The sequence below is a fragment of the Homo sapiens genome, chromosome 6 (genome assembly GCF_000001405.40).
Source record: "Homo sapiens chromosome 6, GRCh38.p14 Primary Assembly".
In the NCBI taxonomy this organism is placed as follows: Eukaryota; Metazoa; Chordata; class Mammalia; order Primates; family Hominidae; genus Homo; species Homo sapiens.
In genome coordinates this window covers 54,927,144-54,945,927 of record NC_000006.12, presented here as the reverse complement: position 1 = coordinate 54,945,927, position 18,784 = coordinate 54,927,144, and the positions used below count along the sequence as shown (strand labels likewise).

The 18,784-nt window shown below is 35.0% G+C and overlaps 1 protein-coding gene across 5 annotated transcripts in view, besides 2 other annotated features; it reads right to left on the bottom strand.

Moving 5' to 3' along the window:
• Window positions 1-828: 828 nt before the first annotated feature.
• Window positions 829-18,784, bottom strand: part of FAM83B (family with sequence similarity 83 member B) — a 98,897-nt gene continuing 80,941 nt past the window's right edge. For all 5 annotated transcript variants that reach the window (XM_017010478.2, XM_006715022.4, NM_001010872.3 and 2 more), the window contains exons 4-5: window positions 18,296-18,420; window positions 829-6,222 (exon numbers count right to left, since the gene is read on the bottom strand). In XM_017010478.2, coding sequence (XP_016865967.1) covers window positions 3,921-6,222; window positions 18,296-18,420 — 2,427 coding nt within the window. In that variant the 3' untranslated portion in view covers window positions 829-3,920. The remainder of the gene's footprint in view (window positions 6,223-18,295; window positions 18,421-18,784) is intronic.
• Window positions 16,023-16,317: an enhancer, noted in NCBI's record as "tiled region #2673; HepG2 Activating DNase matched - State 5:Enh". NCBI's record gives its function as "activates a minimal TATA promoter and a strong SV40 promoter by Sharpr-MPRA in HepG2 cells {active_cell/tissue: HepG2}" and the evidence as "EXISTENCE:reporter gene assay evidence [ECO:0000049][PMID:27701403]".
• Window positions 16,023-16,317: a silencer, noted in NCBI's record as "tiled region #2673; K562 Repressive non-DNase unmatched - State 24:Quies". NCBI's record gives its function as "weakly represses a minimal TATA promoter and a strong SV40 promoter by Sharpr-MPRA in K562 cells {active_cell/tissue: K562}" and the evidence as "EXISTENCE:reporter gene assay evidence [ECO:0000049][PMID:27701403]".

The following is an 18,784-nucleotide window of genomic DNA, read 5'->3' as shown; positions in this document are numbered from 1 at the left end:
TAATCTGCAATACACACTATTTCAACTACCTCATAAGCTGTGATAAAAAGGATATTTTTTTCTAATAAATTCTGAGTTTTAATTCACTAACTCTCAGACTGTAGGTTACTTAATGTCATTAATACAAATGCACATATAGAATATTTTACTCAAACCAAATGCTATGAAGTTATAAAGAAGTCAACCATCATTTTTTTTTCCTTTTTAAAGATTCTCCATCTTTTAAAGTAAAAATTAGGCCAGGACATTGGCTCATGCCTGTAATGCCAGCACTTTGGGAGCTCAAGTTGGGGCAGATTACTTGAGGTCAGGAGGTTGAGAACAGCCTGGCCAACATGGTGAAACCTCATCTCCACTAAAAATACACAAATTAGGTGGCAGGTGCCTGTAAACCTAGCTACTTGGGAGGCTGAGGCAGGAGAATCGCTTGAACCCAGGAGGCTGAGGTGGCAGTGAGCTGCGATCGTGTCACTGCACTCCAGCCTGGGTGACAGGGCAAGACTTCATCTTGAAAAAAAAAAAAAAAGTAAAAAATTATTTAAAGTAACCACTATGTTACAGTATAATAGAAATAAAGAGAATGTGTATATATAATATTTTGCTTAAAGGAAGAGAATCGCCACTGAATTTCAAATATGAATAAATTACTATATAAAATATAATTGGTAATCAAAACAATGTTTTACATGTGATTTCCAAGTTCATGGAAAAAACATTTAAAAATATGTACACATCTAAATTCCTGATTAGAATAACTAAGTGAAAGACTGAGCTTGAATGCAGAAATGCAGAGTATGAAGATTTAAAAAAACAATAGCTTACAATATATTGATGTTTGTACAAAATTATTTATTATTCATTTATTGATCTAAAAACAAAAGTTCATTTGGAAGAATATTTCTTTATAATATCGTACATACATAAAATGTTGAGCTACTCAGGAACCTGAGGCTGGAGGATCGTTTGAGCCCAGGACTTGGAGTCCAGACTGGGCATACTAGTGAAAACCCATCTCTTAAAAAAGAAAAGTTAACAAGTTGACTCTTTGGTTTATCATTTTATCCTTTTGTTTTAAATATTCTAGAACCCAGGATCTACCTGAATATCATGATAAAGTTATTTTAAAAAAAACAGCAACGTACATGTCACATATATAGTCAATGTAAAGCAATTCTACTTTGCATCCCTTAGCCACAGGCATAAGGCAGAACACAGATATTTCTGTGTTCTGTGAATATCTGTGGAATGATACTTGAATATGTGGATCTTGAGTAAAGCTGAATTCATCCAGAATTAAACTTTTTGCATTATTTAGGTGACACTAGACATCATCTTGATTAAACAAGATATTTGCTTCCACAAGTGTAGACTGACAACATATACCCATACCTGAACACACCATGTCAGAATTATGGCTAATCCCAAACTTGTAATAGAGGGATATCTGTGTATTCGGGATACAGGGTCACTTGCAGTATTCTCTAGCCATCTGCCAAGAACTACTTTGAAATTATACCCATTTTTCTTGTGTTTCTGCTTAAAAACTAATGTACAGTACCATGTAGACAGTAAAAGCTGCATTACCAAACTTTAATATCAATGTACATCAAAGTGATATTATCCGCCCCCCAATATTAATATGGGGAAAAAAAGACAGAAAGTATATGGCTTAAAACTATTTCATCCACAAACTGTGATGGTGTCTGTTTAAAACTTAAACAGTAGCTGTACATTTTTTGAAGTATTATATTCTTGCTCAGTCTTATCCCTGGAGAGGTTTTGGCCACAGAGACTTTGGAAAGTTGTTATGTACATATTCTCAAATATAGATATTTTTGAAGAAAAAAGATACAAGAAAAACAATTTTTAAAAAACGCAGAGAAAAATAAATCTGCTGTGCAAAGCCTAAGTCACCTGTCAGGGGATGATGAAATAAAGCATTCTGTATTCCTCAATTCCACTGAAGAGGAAGAGCTCACAAACTATTTAAAAGGATGTTTCTATAAGCTATCTACATGTCCTGAAATTAAGGAGATTTCTGTACAAAAAGGCAACAGGCTTTTGGTTGTAATTAAACATGATTAAACTTCTACTCTTTATATAATTTCAGTTTTAAAGTTACATTGCACTAAATTTCAGGGCTTTCCATTTCAGAACTGCCTAATGGCTCATTATCCTAATTCCCTATCCAATACTAACAAAGAATGGGTAATAACAAAGTCAGTCTAGTTTGGTTAACTGTGGGTTCTGGGCTTTGTTAGGTTTTCTTTTCCTGTCATATTTTCTCCTGCTATGTTTTCTTTTTCATGGTTTCTAAACACTATGGAAAATTATTTTAATGATATAGATATTTTATACCATTATTTAAATTATTTTAATGAGACAATATTAAAATTTGTCTGAATCTTGCATTTTTAAAACAACAGTATACTGCTCCACACAGCAACTTAGAATATATTAAGTAATATATTTAAAGTGATGTACAAACACTTCACACTTCTCACAGGATGCACTGCTTCTTGAACTCTGTTCTTTGTGAATGAAGCAAAGTCAAGTTAAAGTCTCTGGAACAGATATGGAGCTTATACTTCATTACTGTAAGAAAGACAAAGGGTATCTTATAATCTGAATATCATCCTCAAATCATGGAAGAACTAGCCCAGTAAAACTTCTCATTTTCCCAATGGTATTCTTACAAAAACACTATGCAGTCATATCATATTTGGCACAACTTAAAGAAGAGCAAGACCTGTAATCCCAGCACTCTGGGAGGCCGAGGCGGGAGGATCACGAGGTCAGGAGTTTGAGACTAGACTGGCCAACATGGTGAAATCCCATCTCTTCTGAAAATACAAAAATTAGCCGGGTGTGGTGGTGCGCACCTGTAATCCCAGCTACTCAGGAGGCTGAGGCAGGAGAATCGTTTGAACTTGGGAGGCAGAGGTTGCAGTGAGCCAAGATTGCGCCACTGCACTCTAGCCTGGGTGACAGAGCGAGACTCCATCTCAAAAGAAAAAAAAAAAGAGCAAGAATTTTCGCAAGCAAGACCCCTTAGCATTGTCATGCCAATCTAACAAAAATTTAGGCAGAAATTTACATTTCTAAAAGCTTTTATACAATAGAAAAAGGAGGGGGAATCATTCAGATTTTCTAAATTCCTACTGGTTTGTCCTAAATGTGAAGTAAGGAATGACTATAAAAAATCAGCAGCCTATGGGTAAGAGGGGGACAGCTCCCTGGGTCCAGTGTAGAAAGAAGCACATCCCAGACCGTTTTCAAAGGCTGAGGAAAATAAATTCCTACGAATGTCATTATACTACATGAGGCTGATACTTTGCAAACACTTCAGGCAGAAAAAAAAATAAAAAATAAAAAATGTAAAAGGTACTGCTGTTGCCCAAACAGCTGTACAATGATCCACAGAAAAAATAATATTAATAAAATATAACAAGTTATCCCGTAGAACTTCAAGTTAATCTTAAAAAAGGGCTTTGTCCCATTTGCTTATATTTTTGAAGATATGAAAACACTATAAACACATGTTATAAAGGGTTACTGAGGGTAGTATGACCTTTTTAAAAGGAAATGGTTAAAATCCATACACCATACACCATACACCATACATCGTCCACAAAAATTTCTAAGTGAGACTTAAAATCTTCAGTCTAAAGAAAATGATTTAAATACATCTATTATTTTTACCATTACCACTTACAAATAATGTGTTTACAGAGAAATTCTATCTACAGCAGACCCTAACTTTATCACACAGAAAAATAACTTTATACTAGGACACTGGTGAACATATACATCATACCCATAATTCTGTCCTTAGGAAAATCTATTGGCATGTTACAAAGACTGTCCACAATTTTCTTTGGACAAATATTGATAGCCTCATTCATTTTGCATTTTAATAGCTATTTATTTTTGTGTATAAAGTTTCCAAACTTTTGCATAAATCCTCGAAACTTGTTCTCATTGGGTTGATATGAGCGATAAACACCAGTGTTGTAATTAAGCAATGGACTAGACCTGCCATAACTGTTGCCCATAGTCGCAGATTTTATTTCTGGGCGATTTATACTGGTATTTGGCATGTTGCTTGTTGGCTGAATAGAGCTCTCAATCTTACAAAACGGCTCAAAACGACTGTAAACACGCCGATCAGTTGAATGAGATCGTAGAAGCTCACTGGACGTTGGCCTTGGAGAAGAAGTAGGTCTTCTTTCAGGGGTAACAACTGCATTAATCTCCCTTGAATCTCGGTATTGGATCTGTTCAGTGTTAAATCTTGGGGCAGAGGCATCTCCTGCCCTTTCCAAGAACTTGCTTTCAACTGGACCTGGAGAAGGTGTTCTTTTATTTTCATCTGGTGGAGCATTTATCTCTTGAGATGGGCTAACTGTTACATCTTCCTTACTCTTGTGGATGCTGCCTTGAGAATTCGATGAGGAAGAATGCTTTCTTCTAGGAGATGAATCAACTTTTGTGTCTGATTTCTTTGGTTTTTGATTTTCTTCACCCTCAGAAACTAATGTGTCAGAGCTACTACACAATCTATAAAAGGCAGGTGCTTTATTTTTGGATAGATTTTCTTTCTTATCTGGGGTAAGGCTAAGTAATGACCTTAACTTCTGAGACCCCTTTTTCAAAAAACTTGGGGAACCCTTAACTTCCTTCTTTGAAGCAAGTTCTTTGTTAGATTCCTCTTTATTCACATCAAGTAAAGCAGCAATGGAAACTGATTTGGTAGTAGTGCCACTTGGAGAGTTTCTCTTGGTAACTTCCTCCTCATCCTCCTCCAAGTTATGAGTCACATTGTGCATGCTTTTAGAACTTTTCAGCAAATCTTCTTTGGGCTTTTCTGGTTGTCTAACTCGATTCCTGGTAAGTGTACTATATACATAATGCTTACTATTTCCAGGATCTAAGTTGGCTTTTGAGTTGTCAAATAACGGGAAACTTCGCCTTTTAAGTAGATTCTCAGTCTGTTGATTCTTTAGATTTTCTGTCTGCTTATTTACACCCAAGGTTTTATATATATAGTTATTTGATTCAGTATGGCCATTTGTAGTTTGGTTTAAGGCTACTGAGTGGTTTTCAGGAACCTGCAAGGTGTGCATTTTTGGTGCCTCTGACTGCAATGGGAGCTTGGGGATTGATTCTGGCAAGGGTTTGTCTGTCAAATGCTGTACATTCGTAGGGGTGTCTGGGACCTCTTTAGGTGTCTCACTTCCCTGAGAACCAATGATAGTTGAATTTGAGGAGCCAGTTGTACAACTGTTAACTTCCTTTTGCTCAGGTAAAGTGGGTTTAAATACTAAAGAGGAACGAAGCCGAGAATGAGTATAAAGGGCATTGGCCTTCAAATTCTCAGGATTATCATAGCCCTCAAATCGGTCACCTAAAGCTGATCCATTTGAGTCCGGTGTAGCTTCTGAATGATCATTTAAGTAGGATTCAATTCTCCAGTTACGTAGGAATGACTTTGTGGTATGTTCAAGGGTTGGCATTCGTTGTTGCAAAAAGCGGATATGGTTATCTGTCCCATTAAAAGACCTCCGAACATTTGAATTCCTGTCTGCAAGATTTGTTGTTTTTCTCTGCGCAAGCCGATTGGCAAAACTCTGGGCAGGTGTGTTGTGGTGGCTTACATAGCCTTCCCGTGATGAGGACGCCACACTGAGACTATCAGATGGCTTTTTCCAATTACCAGGTGGATTATTGGTTCTATTCAGAGCCCTATTAAGCAGGAGGTATGGCACTGTTTCTGGCTGTTCCCCAGCATAACTATGCCTTTTCCAATTTTCATTTATCTGATTGGGTTGAAACTGACGTATTGCGTTTGGACCATTAAAGTTAGGAACAAAATGAGGTTTGTATCCGTGACTTCTTATGTTATATTTGTCATGTTCATTTAAAGTATATATCCCTCTGTTTTTGAAGTAACTGGAATCTAGTTTATGAATCTTGTCTTGTCTACCAAAAAGGTTTCTCTGGCTGGAAACAGATGCTAATGAAGACACCGAATGCTGGTAAGTGCCATTTTCCCAGAGGGCTTTTCCATGCTTCACCCTTGCTGATTCTTCCTGAGCAAATGAACTAGGGACACAGGATCTGGCATAGAGAGTTCTAAATTCTTCATCAAAGGACTCAACAAGTTGTCCTGTAATTATCTGAACCATGCTGAGGTGAGCTTTCTCAAATGACCACATATAACTGGGGAAAAAAATGGAAAAATTTTAATCATTTAAAAGATTGATAATAACATATAGTTCTACTAAAAAAAGTATCACTTAATGACTATGTTTTTGTACTTTTCTTTGGCTATCATTATTTAGAATATTTTCCGTCATTACATGCACTACATGTTTTCCCATCCTCATGTTCCTATTTTAAATAACAACGCAACTCAAATTTTGGCTTTGAATCCACTACTTTCCAGAAGTCCAAAGAAAAACTTGCTGTGCATTTTCAAAAGCAATCTGCAGATTCAATGCAATTCCCATCAAAATACCATCATCATTTTTCACATAATAAGAAGAAACAATCCCAAAATTTATATGGAACCAAAAAAGAGCCTGCATAGCCAAAGCAAAACCAAGCAAAAAGAACAAATCTAGAGGCATTAAATTACCTGACTTCAAATTATACTACAAGGCTACGGTTACCAAAACAGCATCCTACTGGTATAAGAATAGGCACATACACCAATGGAACAGAATAGAGAACCCAGAAATAAAGCCAAATACCTACAGCCAACTGATCTTCAACAAAGCAAACAAAAATATAAAGTGGGGAAAGGACACCCTATTCAACAAATGATACTGGAATAATTGGCAAGCCACATGTAGAAGAATGAAACTGGATCCTCACTTCTCACCTTAAGCAAAAATCGACTCAAGATGGATCAAAAACTTAAATCTAAGACCTGAAACCATAACAATTCTAGATGATAACATAATAAAAACTCTTCTAGACATTGGCTTATGCAAAGAATTCATGACCAAGAACCCCAAAACAAATGCAACAAAAACAGAGAAAAATAGATGGAACCTAGTTAAACAAAAAAGCTTCTACACAGCAAAATAATCAGCAGAGTAAACAGACAGCCCACAGAGTGGGAGAAACTATTTGCAAACTATGCATCCAACAAAGGAATAATATCCAGAATCCACAAGGAACTCAAATCAGCAAGAAAAAAACAAATAATCCCATCAAAATGGGCAAAAGACATGAATAGACAATTCTCAATAGAAAATATACAAATGACCAACAAAAATACAAAAGAAAATGCTCAACATCACTAATTATCTGGGAAATGCAAATTAAGCCCACAATGAGGTACCACTTTACTCCAGCAAGTATGGCCATAATTAAAAAATCAAAAACTAATAGACATTGGCATGCATGTGGTGAAAAGAGAACATTTTTACACTCCTGGTGGAAATGTATACTAGTAAAACCACTATGGAAAACAGTAGGAAGATTCCTTGAAGAACTAAAAGTAGAACTGCCATTCAATCCAGCAATCCCACTATTGGGTATCTACCCAGAGGAAAAGAAGTTATTATATGAAAAACACTTGCACATGCCTATTTATAGCAGCACAATTTGCAATAGCAAAAATATGAAACCAGCCTAAATGCTCATCAACCAACAAGTGGATAAAGAAATGTGGTATGTATATACCATGGAATACTACTCAACCATAAAAAGGAACAAAATAATGGCATTTGCAACAACCTGGATGGAACTGGAGACCATTATTCTAAGTGAAGTAACTCAGGAATGGAAAACAAAATATTGTATATTCTCACTTATCAGTGAGAGTTAAAGATATGAAGATGCAAAGTCTGAAGAATGATATAATGACTAGAGAAGGAGGGTAGGAGAGGGGTGAGGGGTAACAGACTACACCTTGGGTATATTGTACACTGCTTGGGTGATGGGTGCACCAAAATTTCAGAAATCATCACTAAAGAACTTATCCATGCAACCAAAAACCAACTGTTCCCCAAACACTAATGACATAAATAAAATAGAATGTTAAAAAAAATAAAGAAAAATTTGCTGTGTATTTTACATCTGTGTCAAAACTTCGTGGCATAAAAACTGATATTATATTTTATATATACCATCTTGGCAGAATGCAGTAAAGCCAGTGTTGGAGAAAAAGTCAAGAGGCCTGGTTTCTGCTGAATTGTAGACACATGAGCTTGGGCTTCACTTTCCTCGTGTCCAATGTAAGGATACGGACAGCATAATAGCTACAATGTCTCATAGCTGTAACATGATATAATGTAAGATACAGCTGTGTTAATGCATGTATTTTAAGAGTCGGTAAATTTTCAGACTGTTATCTCTGTGGTTTACTCAATAAGTGTAATTTAGGATGCCAAGAGCTGTAAACAGGATTTGTGGCCAGCTGCCTCAATCATTAAAGGGCAGAATTCACTGTACTCACTGTACATAGTATTAGTAAATGCAGGCTTCAGAAACCATGCCAGTCAAAATGCCAATCAGGATCTTTTAATATAAAATACAATTTTTAGGAAATTAATGTCTGTATGACTTTATAGTACTTTATGGAAGCTCCAATTCCTTTCCTAGAGTTTAGAGGTAACAGCTACCTTTAAAATTCATATCAAATTTTAAATCTGATTTTTGAAAATCTAGTGATTTAATATACAGTCAACTGAACTGAAAAATAAATGAATTGCTATTATGCTATGCATAAAGTAATGTATATGACACAATGGGGGTTAATACAAAAGAAAAAAGAGACACTCTCCACATTGAAGCATCTTATTATTTCTATAAAGGAGACAATAAAAATGCAGGAAAATAATTAAAAGAATGTGCAGATTAAACATTTAAAATAAACAAAATATTACATATCACAAACAGGAGCATGTAACTTAAGAATCTTGTTATTTGGATATGCTTAATTTTATCTAGTATGCCTATAGGAAGCATGATACAGAAGGAATATTTATTATGCCACTGGGCTGACTTAAAAGAAATGGTATAAAAGTAAGTAACTAAAGAAATTTTCAATCTGACTAAAGGTATGAATTCAAAATATTAGAAACATCAAGTAATGGAATGAACAGTGAACTATCAAGTATGAGGAAATCCATGAAGAAAGTGAAGTTCTGCAATATTTTGATAAAGACTAGATTCCCAGTTCAGACACAAAAGATGTGGGAAGACAATTTGTGTGGAGGGAGAAATATGGAAAAGGGAAGAATGCAATAAGGGTCATGTTCTAGTTGAACACAGAAAACATACTATATATAGCTGGAGCAAAGAAGCCATATAAAAGACTGATGAACTAGTGGGGAAAATCTTGAAAACAAAACAGAAAGTTCGATTATGTAGAATTTGTTTCCAAATTTGGATAAATTATAATAGAAAGAGATGTTTGAGGAACTATTTTTTTCTAGTAGCTATTTGTAGTACTATTGTAGTACAGACTTAAAAGTAAGAGCCCAACCAAAGTAGAAATAGGAATAATGAGTGAAAATGTTGAGCCAGTAGTAAAAAGAAAGAACCAAAAGACTTCATGTCAAAAGAACATCCATACGTTATTAAATAAAAACAACTTCCAAGTGTTGAGGTTAGAAAACTAAGAAGATACGGTGTTGGTGAATGTGTGGCAATTGGAAAAGTTTCCCTGCTATAGTAAATCAGAAAATAATATTGTAATAAAGTTTCAGGCAACAGGAAGACATTCATTGAATATATTCAGTAAGTAAATCTGAAAACCTACAGACATGCTTCAGGGCTTGGAAATGATCTCTGTATTCCTCTATTATCGTAGGTGATTTCTATGCCATTAACTATGAAGTCCGAAGTCCGTATTGCCAGTGCTGACCTCTTCCTCATCTCTGGAATCTGTGTCCAATCTCTACCCAAAATTTTAGTGGGCCTTGCAAGCCTCACATGTATGACTCATAAGTTGTCATCTAGCACTCCTCCTTCCCCGACCTATTCCTTCCCTAGTATTGCTTAAGTGAGTGACTCAGCCATCTTTCAGGTGATCAAGACAGGAAACAAGCAGTCATCTTTGAATGCCCTCTTTTTCAGAACCAAAAGGTCCTGTTGACTCTGCTTGCAAAACTTCTCACAAATCAGTCCTATCCCACTATCACCCTAGTCTTAGCATTTTCGGCTAATTTGACTCTTAGTGTTCTCATTTGCTCATTTTTCAATCAACAGAACAGCAGAAGTGATCTTTGCATAAAACAAATTGGGTCATGTCACACTTCCACACAGAACTTTCTGTTTTGTTTAAAAGAAAATTCAGGCTCCTTACCTGGCCTAAGATAATTCCTACCCTGCCTGCTTTCCAGTTTTACTATGGATAGCTCTTCCCTTGCTTAATGTGGTCCTACCACACTGGCCTTTCTGCTATCCCCCAGATATCTGCCCCAGGATCTTTTATCTATTGTTCCCTCTTCAATATATCTCTTCCCCTGCTGACATGCTCTTAGAAGACATTTATGATCACTCTATTCAAAGTATCCATCTGATCATGCTTTATCATATTCCCCTGATTTCATTTATACAATACCCCATTACCACTATCAGATGGTTTCTTGTATGTTCTCCCTTTGTCTGTCTCCAGTGCCCACTAAAATAAAATTTAGCTCAGCAATCTTGTGTACCTTATTTAGGACTGCACTTCCAGGGGCTAAGAACGGTGCTTGGCATATTGTAAACACTTAAAAACATTAGTTGTAAATAAACAAATGATAATATAAATGAACTATTAGTTTCAAAATCAAGACTAAAAGGCAAAGATGTTTATGTTGGTGGAAAACTTAAAAGGTTTACATTAAATCTGGATTATCATGCAGGTTTATTTCTTTTTCTTTCCTACACAATACTAAAAAGATAGCAAAGGGAAAAGGGAAGTAGCAAGTGAAAGTATTTAATAAATGTTTAGAACAGAGAAATCTGATGGAGAAGTGGTGGCTGACTTATAGGAAGTTTGCATGAGGTGAGCAGCAATGAGAATAAGCCAGATGGGCCCAGCAGAATCTTTATGAATTCAACATCGGATCAAAAGGTACTACAAATGGTGGGTTAGAAAGGTCATGAAAATAGAGAAACAGGAAGATTGATTGAAAGTCTCATATAGAGCAGTTGGGCCTCCAGGTTCCCTACTCTTTCCTTTCCCATGAAGCACTCCTTCCTATCCCTTTCAGGAATCTAAGGTTTACTTCAGCAGAAACCAATCCAGAGAAAGTCTGAACTCAGAAACTTTAAACAAACCATGACTGGGATAAAGGTGAGCTAAAAATGAGACTTATCAGACCCTCAGCTCTCTTTCCCATTCTGCTTCTAGAATATCTTCAGTTAGGATCATATTCTGACTGCATTCCAAATTCCATCTCCTTTGACAATCTTTTGGAGAAAGACATTATTCTCTGGAAACATTGAAAAACCCCAGATAAGTGATATTTATATTGATAGTCGGGGATTCTCCTGTAAAGTTGCCAGGTCCCCAGTCTATCATTCAGCTGTAAACTCAAACGTTGATAAGCATTTCCCGCTCAGTTTCTAATCAGCTTTACAGTCCCTCATTCTTAAATATAAACACATAACAAAGATTAACAGATGAATAAACAAAGTTTCAAAGACAGCTTATAAAGCTTAAGAGCTTAGATGCAATCATAGATCAAAACAAGCTGGAAAATGGCACCTAGAAGAAACAGACACAAACTACAAATAAAAATACTTCCGAAAACACAAACACAAGGTCAGTAAAGTGGCAGATTAGAAAGTTACAAGCCCTACGTACCCCATAGAGACACTAGTTAACAACAATATGTGAAACAGAAGACCTCTGTGAAATGCTAGCGACCAATTGAAAAGATAGAGCACCCAGAACATTATATTCCAGCCATACAGGTTGAAAAACCTGTGATGTTTGGCCAGCTCATTCCTATTCCTCCCCCATATGGTACAGCATGAAACAAACAGAGAGAAACTTTTCCCCCAGCCCCCAGACTGGGGGTCCTCCCTCAGGATGGAAACAAAAGAGTAGACTGTGGATCATAATTCTGGCTTGTCTTCAGTGCAGCCCAAGAGACTGGCTTCTATCTTACCTGAGTGCTGGTAGGATTGGAACCAGAGTTTAGAAATCATTGAAAATAGAGGTAAGCAGCATGTTAAACCTGCAGTTCCATGGGCAGACACCAAAGGAACGAGAGGTCAGAAAAGATTTGAAAGGTCCTAGAATCTGTGGCTGGGCTGAATGGTAAAGGTCTTTCCCTGAACAAAGACAGTATACAAAGACTGGGAGAGGTGACTGATTATTTTTAAGATGTCTGAATACTAGCAAAAAATTACAAGGCATATGAGGAAGCAGGGAAACTCAGCCCAATCCTAAGAAATAAAATAAAACTCCAGAAACTAACCCTAAAGAATCACAGATCTATAAGCTGCCTGATTAAATATTTAAAATAACTGCTATAAAAATGCTCAATGAGCTAAAAACAAACAAAACTAACAAAAAAAACATCAACAACACACACACACAGACAAGTAAACAAAATCAGGAAAATGACATACCAATGGAATGAGAATATCAACAAAGATAAACTATAAAATAAAACTAAAAGGAAATTCTGGAACTGAAAAAATAATATAACTGAATAATTCATTAGAAGGATTCAACAGCAGACTTGATCAGGCAGAAGAAATAATGAATAAACTTGAAGACAGGTCATGGATATAATTGAGTCAGAAGAGCAAAATGAAAAAAAAAAGGAATGAAGAAAAGCAAAGATATACTAAAGAATTTATAGAACTACCAAGGAGATCAATATTGCATTATGAGAAGCTCAGAAAGAGGAGAGGCAAAGAAGCAGATAACTTATTTGAAGAAATAGTGGACAAAAACTTCCCAAGTCTGAGGAAAAAAAATTGACATACAAATTTTAAAGAACTCAAACTGGGATAAATCCAAAAAGAATTACACCAAGACACATTATAATCAGACCTGTTTAAAGTCAAAGACAGAAAGTCTTGAAAGCATCAAAAGAAAGGTGATTTGTCACATACAAGGGAGCTTCCATTAGACTATCAGTGACTTTCTCAGCAGAAAGTTTGCAGGCTACAATGAAGCAGGACCACATAATCAAAGAGCTACAAGAAAAACACTGAAAACACCAAAAATCCAGCAAAACTGTCCTTCAAAAGGAAGGAGAAATTAAGACTGTCCCAGATAAATGAGGGAGTTCACTACTAGGAGATCTACTCTACACAAAATGCTAAAGTGAATCTTTTTAAGTTGAAATAAAAGGATGGTAGAGAGCAACACAAAGCCTTATGAAAATATCAAGTTCTCCAGTAAAAGTAAATATGTAGACAAATGAAGTGACCTGTACTATTGCAGATGTGGTTCATAGAATTTAAATGTGAAAAATATAAAAAGTAACTTTAAATCTGTGTTCATTGCTATACAATACATAAATACGTAATTTGGAGCAACAATTATGTAAAGTGAGGAATAGAGCTATAAAGGTGTGGAGTTTTCATATGTGATTGAAGTTATCAGTTTAAAATAAAATGCTATTACTTTAAAATGTTTTATGTAAGGCCATGCATGGTGGCTTACGCCTGTAATCCCAGCACTTTGGGAGGTTGAGGTGGGCAGATCACCTGAGGTCAGGAGTTCGAGACCAGCCTGGCTAACATGGTGAAACCCAGTTTCTACTAAAAATACAAAATATTACCCAGGCGTGGTGGTGCACACCTGTAATCACAGCTACTCAGGAGGCTGAGGCAAGGGAATTGCTTGAACCTGGGAGGCGGAGGTTGCAATGAGCTGAGATTGTGTCATTGGACTCCAGCTTGGGCAACAAAAGTGAAACTCCGTCTCAAAAAAAAAAAAAAAAAAAAGTTTTATGTAATTCCAGTGATAACTGAAAAGAAAATATCTTTAGAATATACACAAAAGGAAATGAGATGATAATCAAAGCATGTATGTGCAAAAAACAAAACAAAACACAAAAGACTGCAGTAAAAGAGGGAAAAAAGAACAAAGAAGTTACAAGACATATGGAAAAAAAATGACAATAGTAAGTCCTTCTCCATCAGTAATTGGTTAAAAGGTAAATGAATTAAATTACCTCATTGAAAGACTTTAATTGACTGAATGGATTAAAAAAACAGTATCCAAATATATGCTATCTTCAAGAGACTCACTTTTGATCTAAGGACATACATAAGCTAAAAGTAAGAGGATAAAAAAAGATACACCATGCAAATGGTAACCAAAAGAGAAAGCAGGAATTGCTGTAAAAATATCAGGAAAAACAGGCTTTAAATTAAAATAAAAAACTTATAAGAGATAAAGAAGAATATTATGTGATAAAAAAGGGGTCAATTCACCAAGAAGATATAACAATTATAACAATTATAAGTATTTGTGCAGCAAACCTCAGAGCTCCTAAATATACAAAGCAAACTTTAACAGAATTGAAAGGGAAAACAGACAGCAACACAGTATTAGTAGGAGACTTCAATACTCTACTTTCAATAATGAATGCAATGAGACAGAAGATCAAAAGGAACACAGACAACTTGAACAAGAGTACAGACCAACAGCACCTAACAAACACATAGAGAACACTTGACAAAAGCAGAATATACATTCTTCTCAAGTACACATGGTACATTCTCCAAGACAGATCACGTTAGGCAAAACAAACCTCAACAAATTAAAGAAGATTTAAATCACACAAAGTATCTTACTTGCAACAGAACACAACTAGAAATCAATGGTACAAGGAAAATTGGAAAGTTCACAGATATGTGGAAATTAAACAACACAGTTTTGAGTAGCCAATGAGTCAAAGAAGAAGTCACAAAGGAAATTAGAAAATACCTTGAGACAAATGAATATAAAAACACAAGATATCAAAATTTATGAGATGTAGCAAAAGCACTCTTAAGAGGGACGTTTATAGGTGTAAATACATATATTAAAAAAGCAAAAATATCTCCTCTGACTTAATATTACCTAGTCTATGCATGTAATAAAATATGAAAAATATGACCTATACCATATGTACATGTATTTTTATCAATAAAACATTTTTTTAAAGCTAAAAGATCTCACGCAACAACCTAGCTTTATACCTCAAGAAACTAGAAAAAACAAAAACAAATAGGGAAAAAAGGGAAATTCTGAAAGGTTCAAGAAAGAAAACATGGCTGCGTGAAAAGAATGTGACTAATAATAATTGCTGAAACTTCTCAGCAGCAACTTTGATTATGGGGTAATACCTTACCAATTTGGAGGAAAAATGGTTCAACTTAGAGTTCCATCCCACATTAAGCCATAAATGACTTAGAATTATAAATTTTTTAATTTAAAAGTCCTTGAGCAATCTTGGGAGAAAAATGAAGACTTGGAAACAAAATGAGGAAATACAGGATTTAAGAAATCATGGATCAAATCACTTAGAAATATGAAAAATACCAGGCCCCCAGGTGTGCTTCCAATTTAAGGACCTGCTAGTTCAGATGGGATGTCATAGATGGTTGGTTGTAACTGAGCATTTGGGAAAATCATTCATGTGCTGCAAAATCTATGTGGTCAACTGGAGAAAGAAGTAGCAATAGATAAATAGAAAACAAACACAATTAATAAAAACAAAATGGCCATTATTAACTTTGTTTCGAAAAAAGAAACGTACATCACTCTATGGCTCATCAGTGATCCATTTTGACACAATTTCAATAATGTAGACCTGGACTTCTCATTTAACCAAAAATTGTGATAAAACTATAATGCAGACAAGAAGGAATAGTAGGTAGTAAATACAATTCTCCAAAAATAAAAAGCCAAGATAATATATGAAATTGGTAAATCAAAAAAGAATAACATAATCATGTTATTTAAGGGATGAAATAAATATCAGAAGAACCAACTAAAAGAATTGAGCAACTGCATCTGGAGATCAGGACCAGAGTTGGCTAGAGATGGAAAACAAAAGTCACTGTTTTGTACTGCACATATTTTAGTAATATTTGATTTTTTTAAAATGTGCAAATATTTTCATGGATTAAAAAAAAACTGTCTACTCCCAGCTCCACTAAACACACACTGTCAGATATTAGTCATGAAGTTGACTTAAAAATTCCGAGTTCCTGGCTGGGGGCTTAAAGTCCATCAAATGTAAATAGTAACAGTATGCTGGTTGCAGCATGGACCTCAACTGTGATGATTTTTATGTGTGGTTAAAAATGGAACCTGAGAGGTGCCAACTTCAGCCAATTTGTCTTTTGAAAGTAACTTTCATTGAGCTCATGAGATTAAAAATGAAAAAGCCTATAAAATTATCTCTCAGTTTGATTTATAGACAATGCTTTATTAAACATTCATCAATGTTAGTATCATGTTATGAAAAAACTCCTCATGTTTTCCTGATAAAATCATCAGCATGTGAGTGAGCTGTCACACAATGTGTAACTGTGGTAAATACAGATTCTGGGCCTCTCCAGGAATGGTAGGAGTTTAGAATCCAATGATATCCCATGGCAAAGAATACTGAATTAAAGAAGAAGGCATTTTCAACTTGCCTATGAGGAAAACAATAGCAATACCAGAATGTGAGGGACAAAGGCTGTTTTTAAACCAAAAGGAAATTCACTTTTAACCAAACTAGTTCAAAACTAGTCTACCACATCTCGTTCGAATATTGTTAGCAACAGGAAAGGTCCATGATAATGTCAGAAAAAATAAAAAGGACAATGATTACAACTATAAATTATTTAAAGAAATATATTTAAAATGAACTTGAGATAACACAGAGAATAGAGTGTTAGTTAAGAGTTGTGATAAATTTTTTATAATCCATGGTCCTAGGAATTCTACAGTTACTATCATAAATAGTAACTTAAATTCTGCCTCTGGCTTCTGATATAGACAGAAAGATAGAGATATATAATTTTTTTGTCACTGCTGTTTGATTTTCCCCCACATTAATCAAAAGTAGCTCAACTATAGTCATTGCAACACTAGCAACTATTAATATCTAGTGGCAGCAAAACAAAGCTGAGGTAAATTTACTGTCAAAGATAATCTTAAAACTTAAATAATAACCATAGAAACTATTAATTATGATGACCTTAAATAACAATGATTCTACAAGTCAAGTGAACTCTCAATTTTAATTAAAAGTTCAATTAAAAACTCTCCAAAACCAAGTGGGTCTGGACAAATATATTCACATATAATGAGTCTTTAAAAGGACTCACGAATTTCAAGCACTAGCTGTATTTTCTGCTGTTAATATGTTTTCATTTGGAACTCCAAACAGCATGTTTTTTTAAAAAGGTCCCGAGCTTAAAGAGAGAGTTAGCAGAAAGTAACAAATCAAGTCCTAAAATAGTAGTTAACATTAGGGGTTTGGGATGCATGAACTCATTTAATCCTCACAACAATGATATGAGGCCAGTTCTATGATTTATTTTATAGCGGAGCAAACTAAAGTGCAACCAAATAAAGTAATTTGCTCAAGGCCACCATTTCAATGTGATACCTCCTTCTCATGGACTTTCTGTTACTAAGACAGGAGACAAAGGTTTCGCCTTACACAGTCGTGTTCACATCCATAGCTCTTCTGGATTCTTCCCTCAGTCTTTAATAATGACTCTACCCTGCCTCAGTGACCTAGCAGTTCATGGGTATTTGGTGGTGCTTTTATCTGCCTGTTTATGTAGCCTCACTATGTATCTGATTCAGGACTGAAGCCAGGGGATTTATTTACAAGAGAGTATTAGGGCAGTGTTTACACTCTCGAGCCAGCCTCACCTGGACTGGGTTGCCAGTTCTGCTTTGATCAGATTCTTAAGAATACAAAATAAGAAAAATCCATTTACCAGATTACTTAAAGTGGTAAATAGCTTCTGTTTTTACAAACGATTGTAACTAAATCCATACTATGTAATGTTTCCATAAGGAGCAAAACCACTTTTAGTACCACAGAGCTGTAGGGAACCTTAGATATTGGTCAATGTCTTCATGTTCTGGATGAACAATCTGAAGCTCAAGGAAGTTATATGATTTGCATAAGATCTTAATGCTCTTTAGTGGCAGACTCATGACTCAAACCTAGGTCTCTAATCTCCATGCAAGTGTTCTCTTTTTTTTTTTTTTTTTTTTTTTTTTACTTTTAAGAAAAAGCTTAACTGATTATATTAAAATTTGAAACTAATAAATCATCAAAACGATTGATAACACTGAAGTTAAACACAATGATCTTACCTGTAAGAACCGTACATCACTTTCTGGCAGTCAACTAACAAAAATTTCTGTTCCATTTTTCCATGGAATTTTGCCCCTGTTTTTGAAAGATAATCTTGGCCTTTTACTGTTCGCACTCGAATATTCTAGAATTATATGTAAATAAAAAGCAGACATTATGGCTAGGAAAAGAATATTTTGAAAACCAAAATCCATATCATGATAGAATCTTAATATAAAAAAATTTACTTAAGGTAATTAAAAAAAAAACTCCCAAATATTAAATCCTTAATGAAAATAATCATTTAAAATATACATTTCAATATAGCTTAAATAGGAGATTTCACTTTACATTTACACAGAATAGCATCAAAGATCACTCAGCCTCTCACTATAAAAAACCCTTTTGGGTTATAATGCCTTGATGATAAATTAACTAAAATTAAAATTAACCTTCCTTTTAAAAAGTCAAAAGTAACAGAAAATACTACGTGAAATGATTCTAATAAG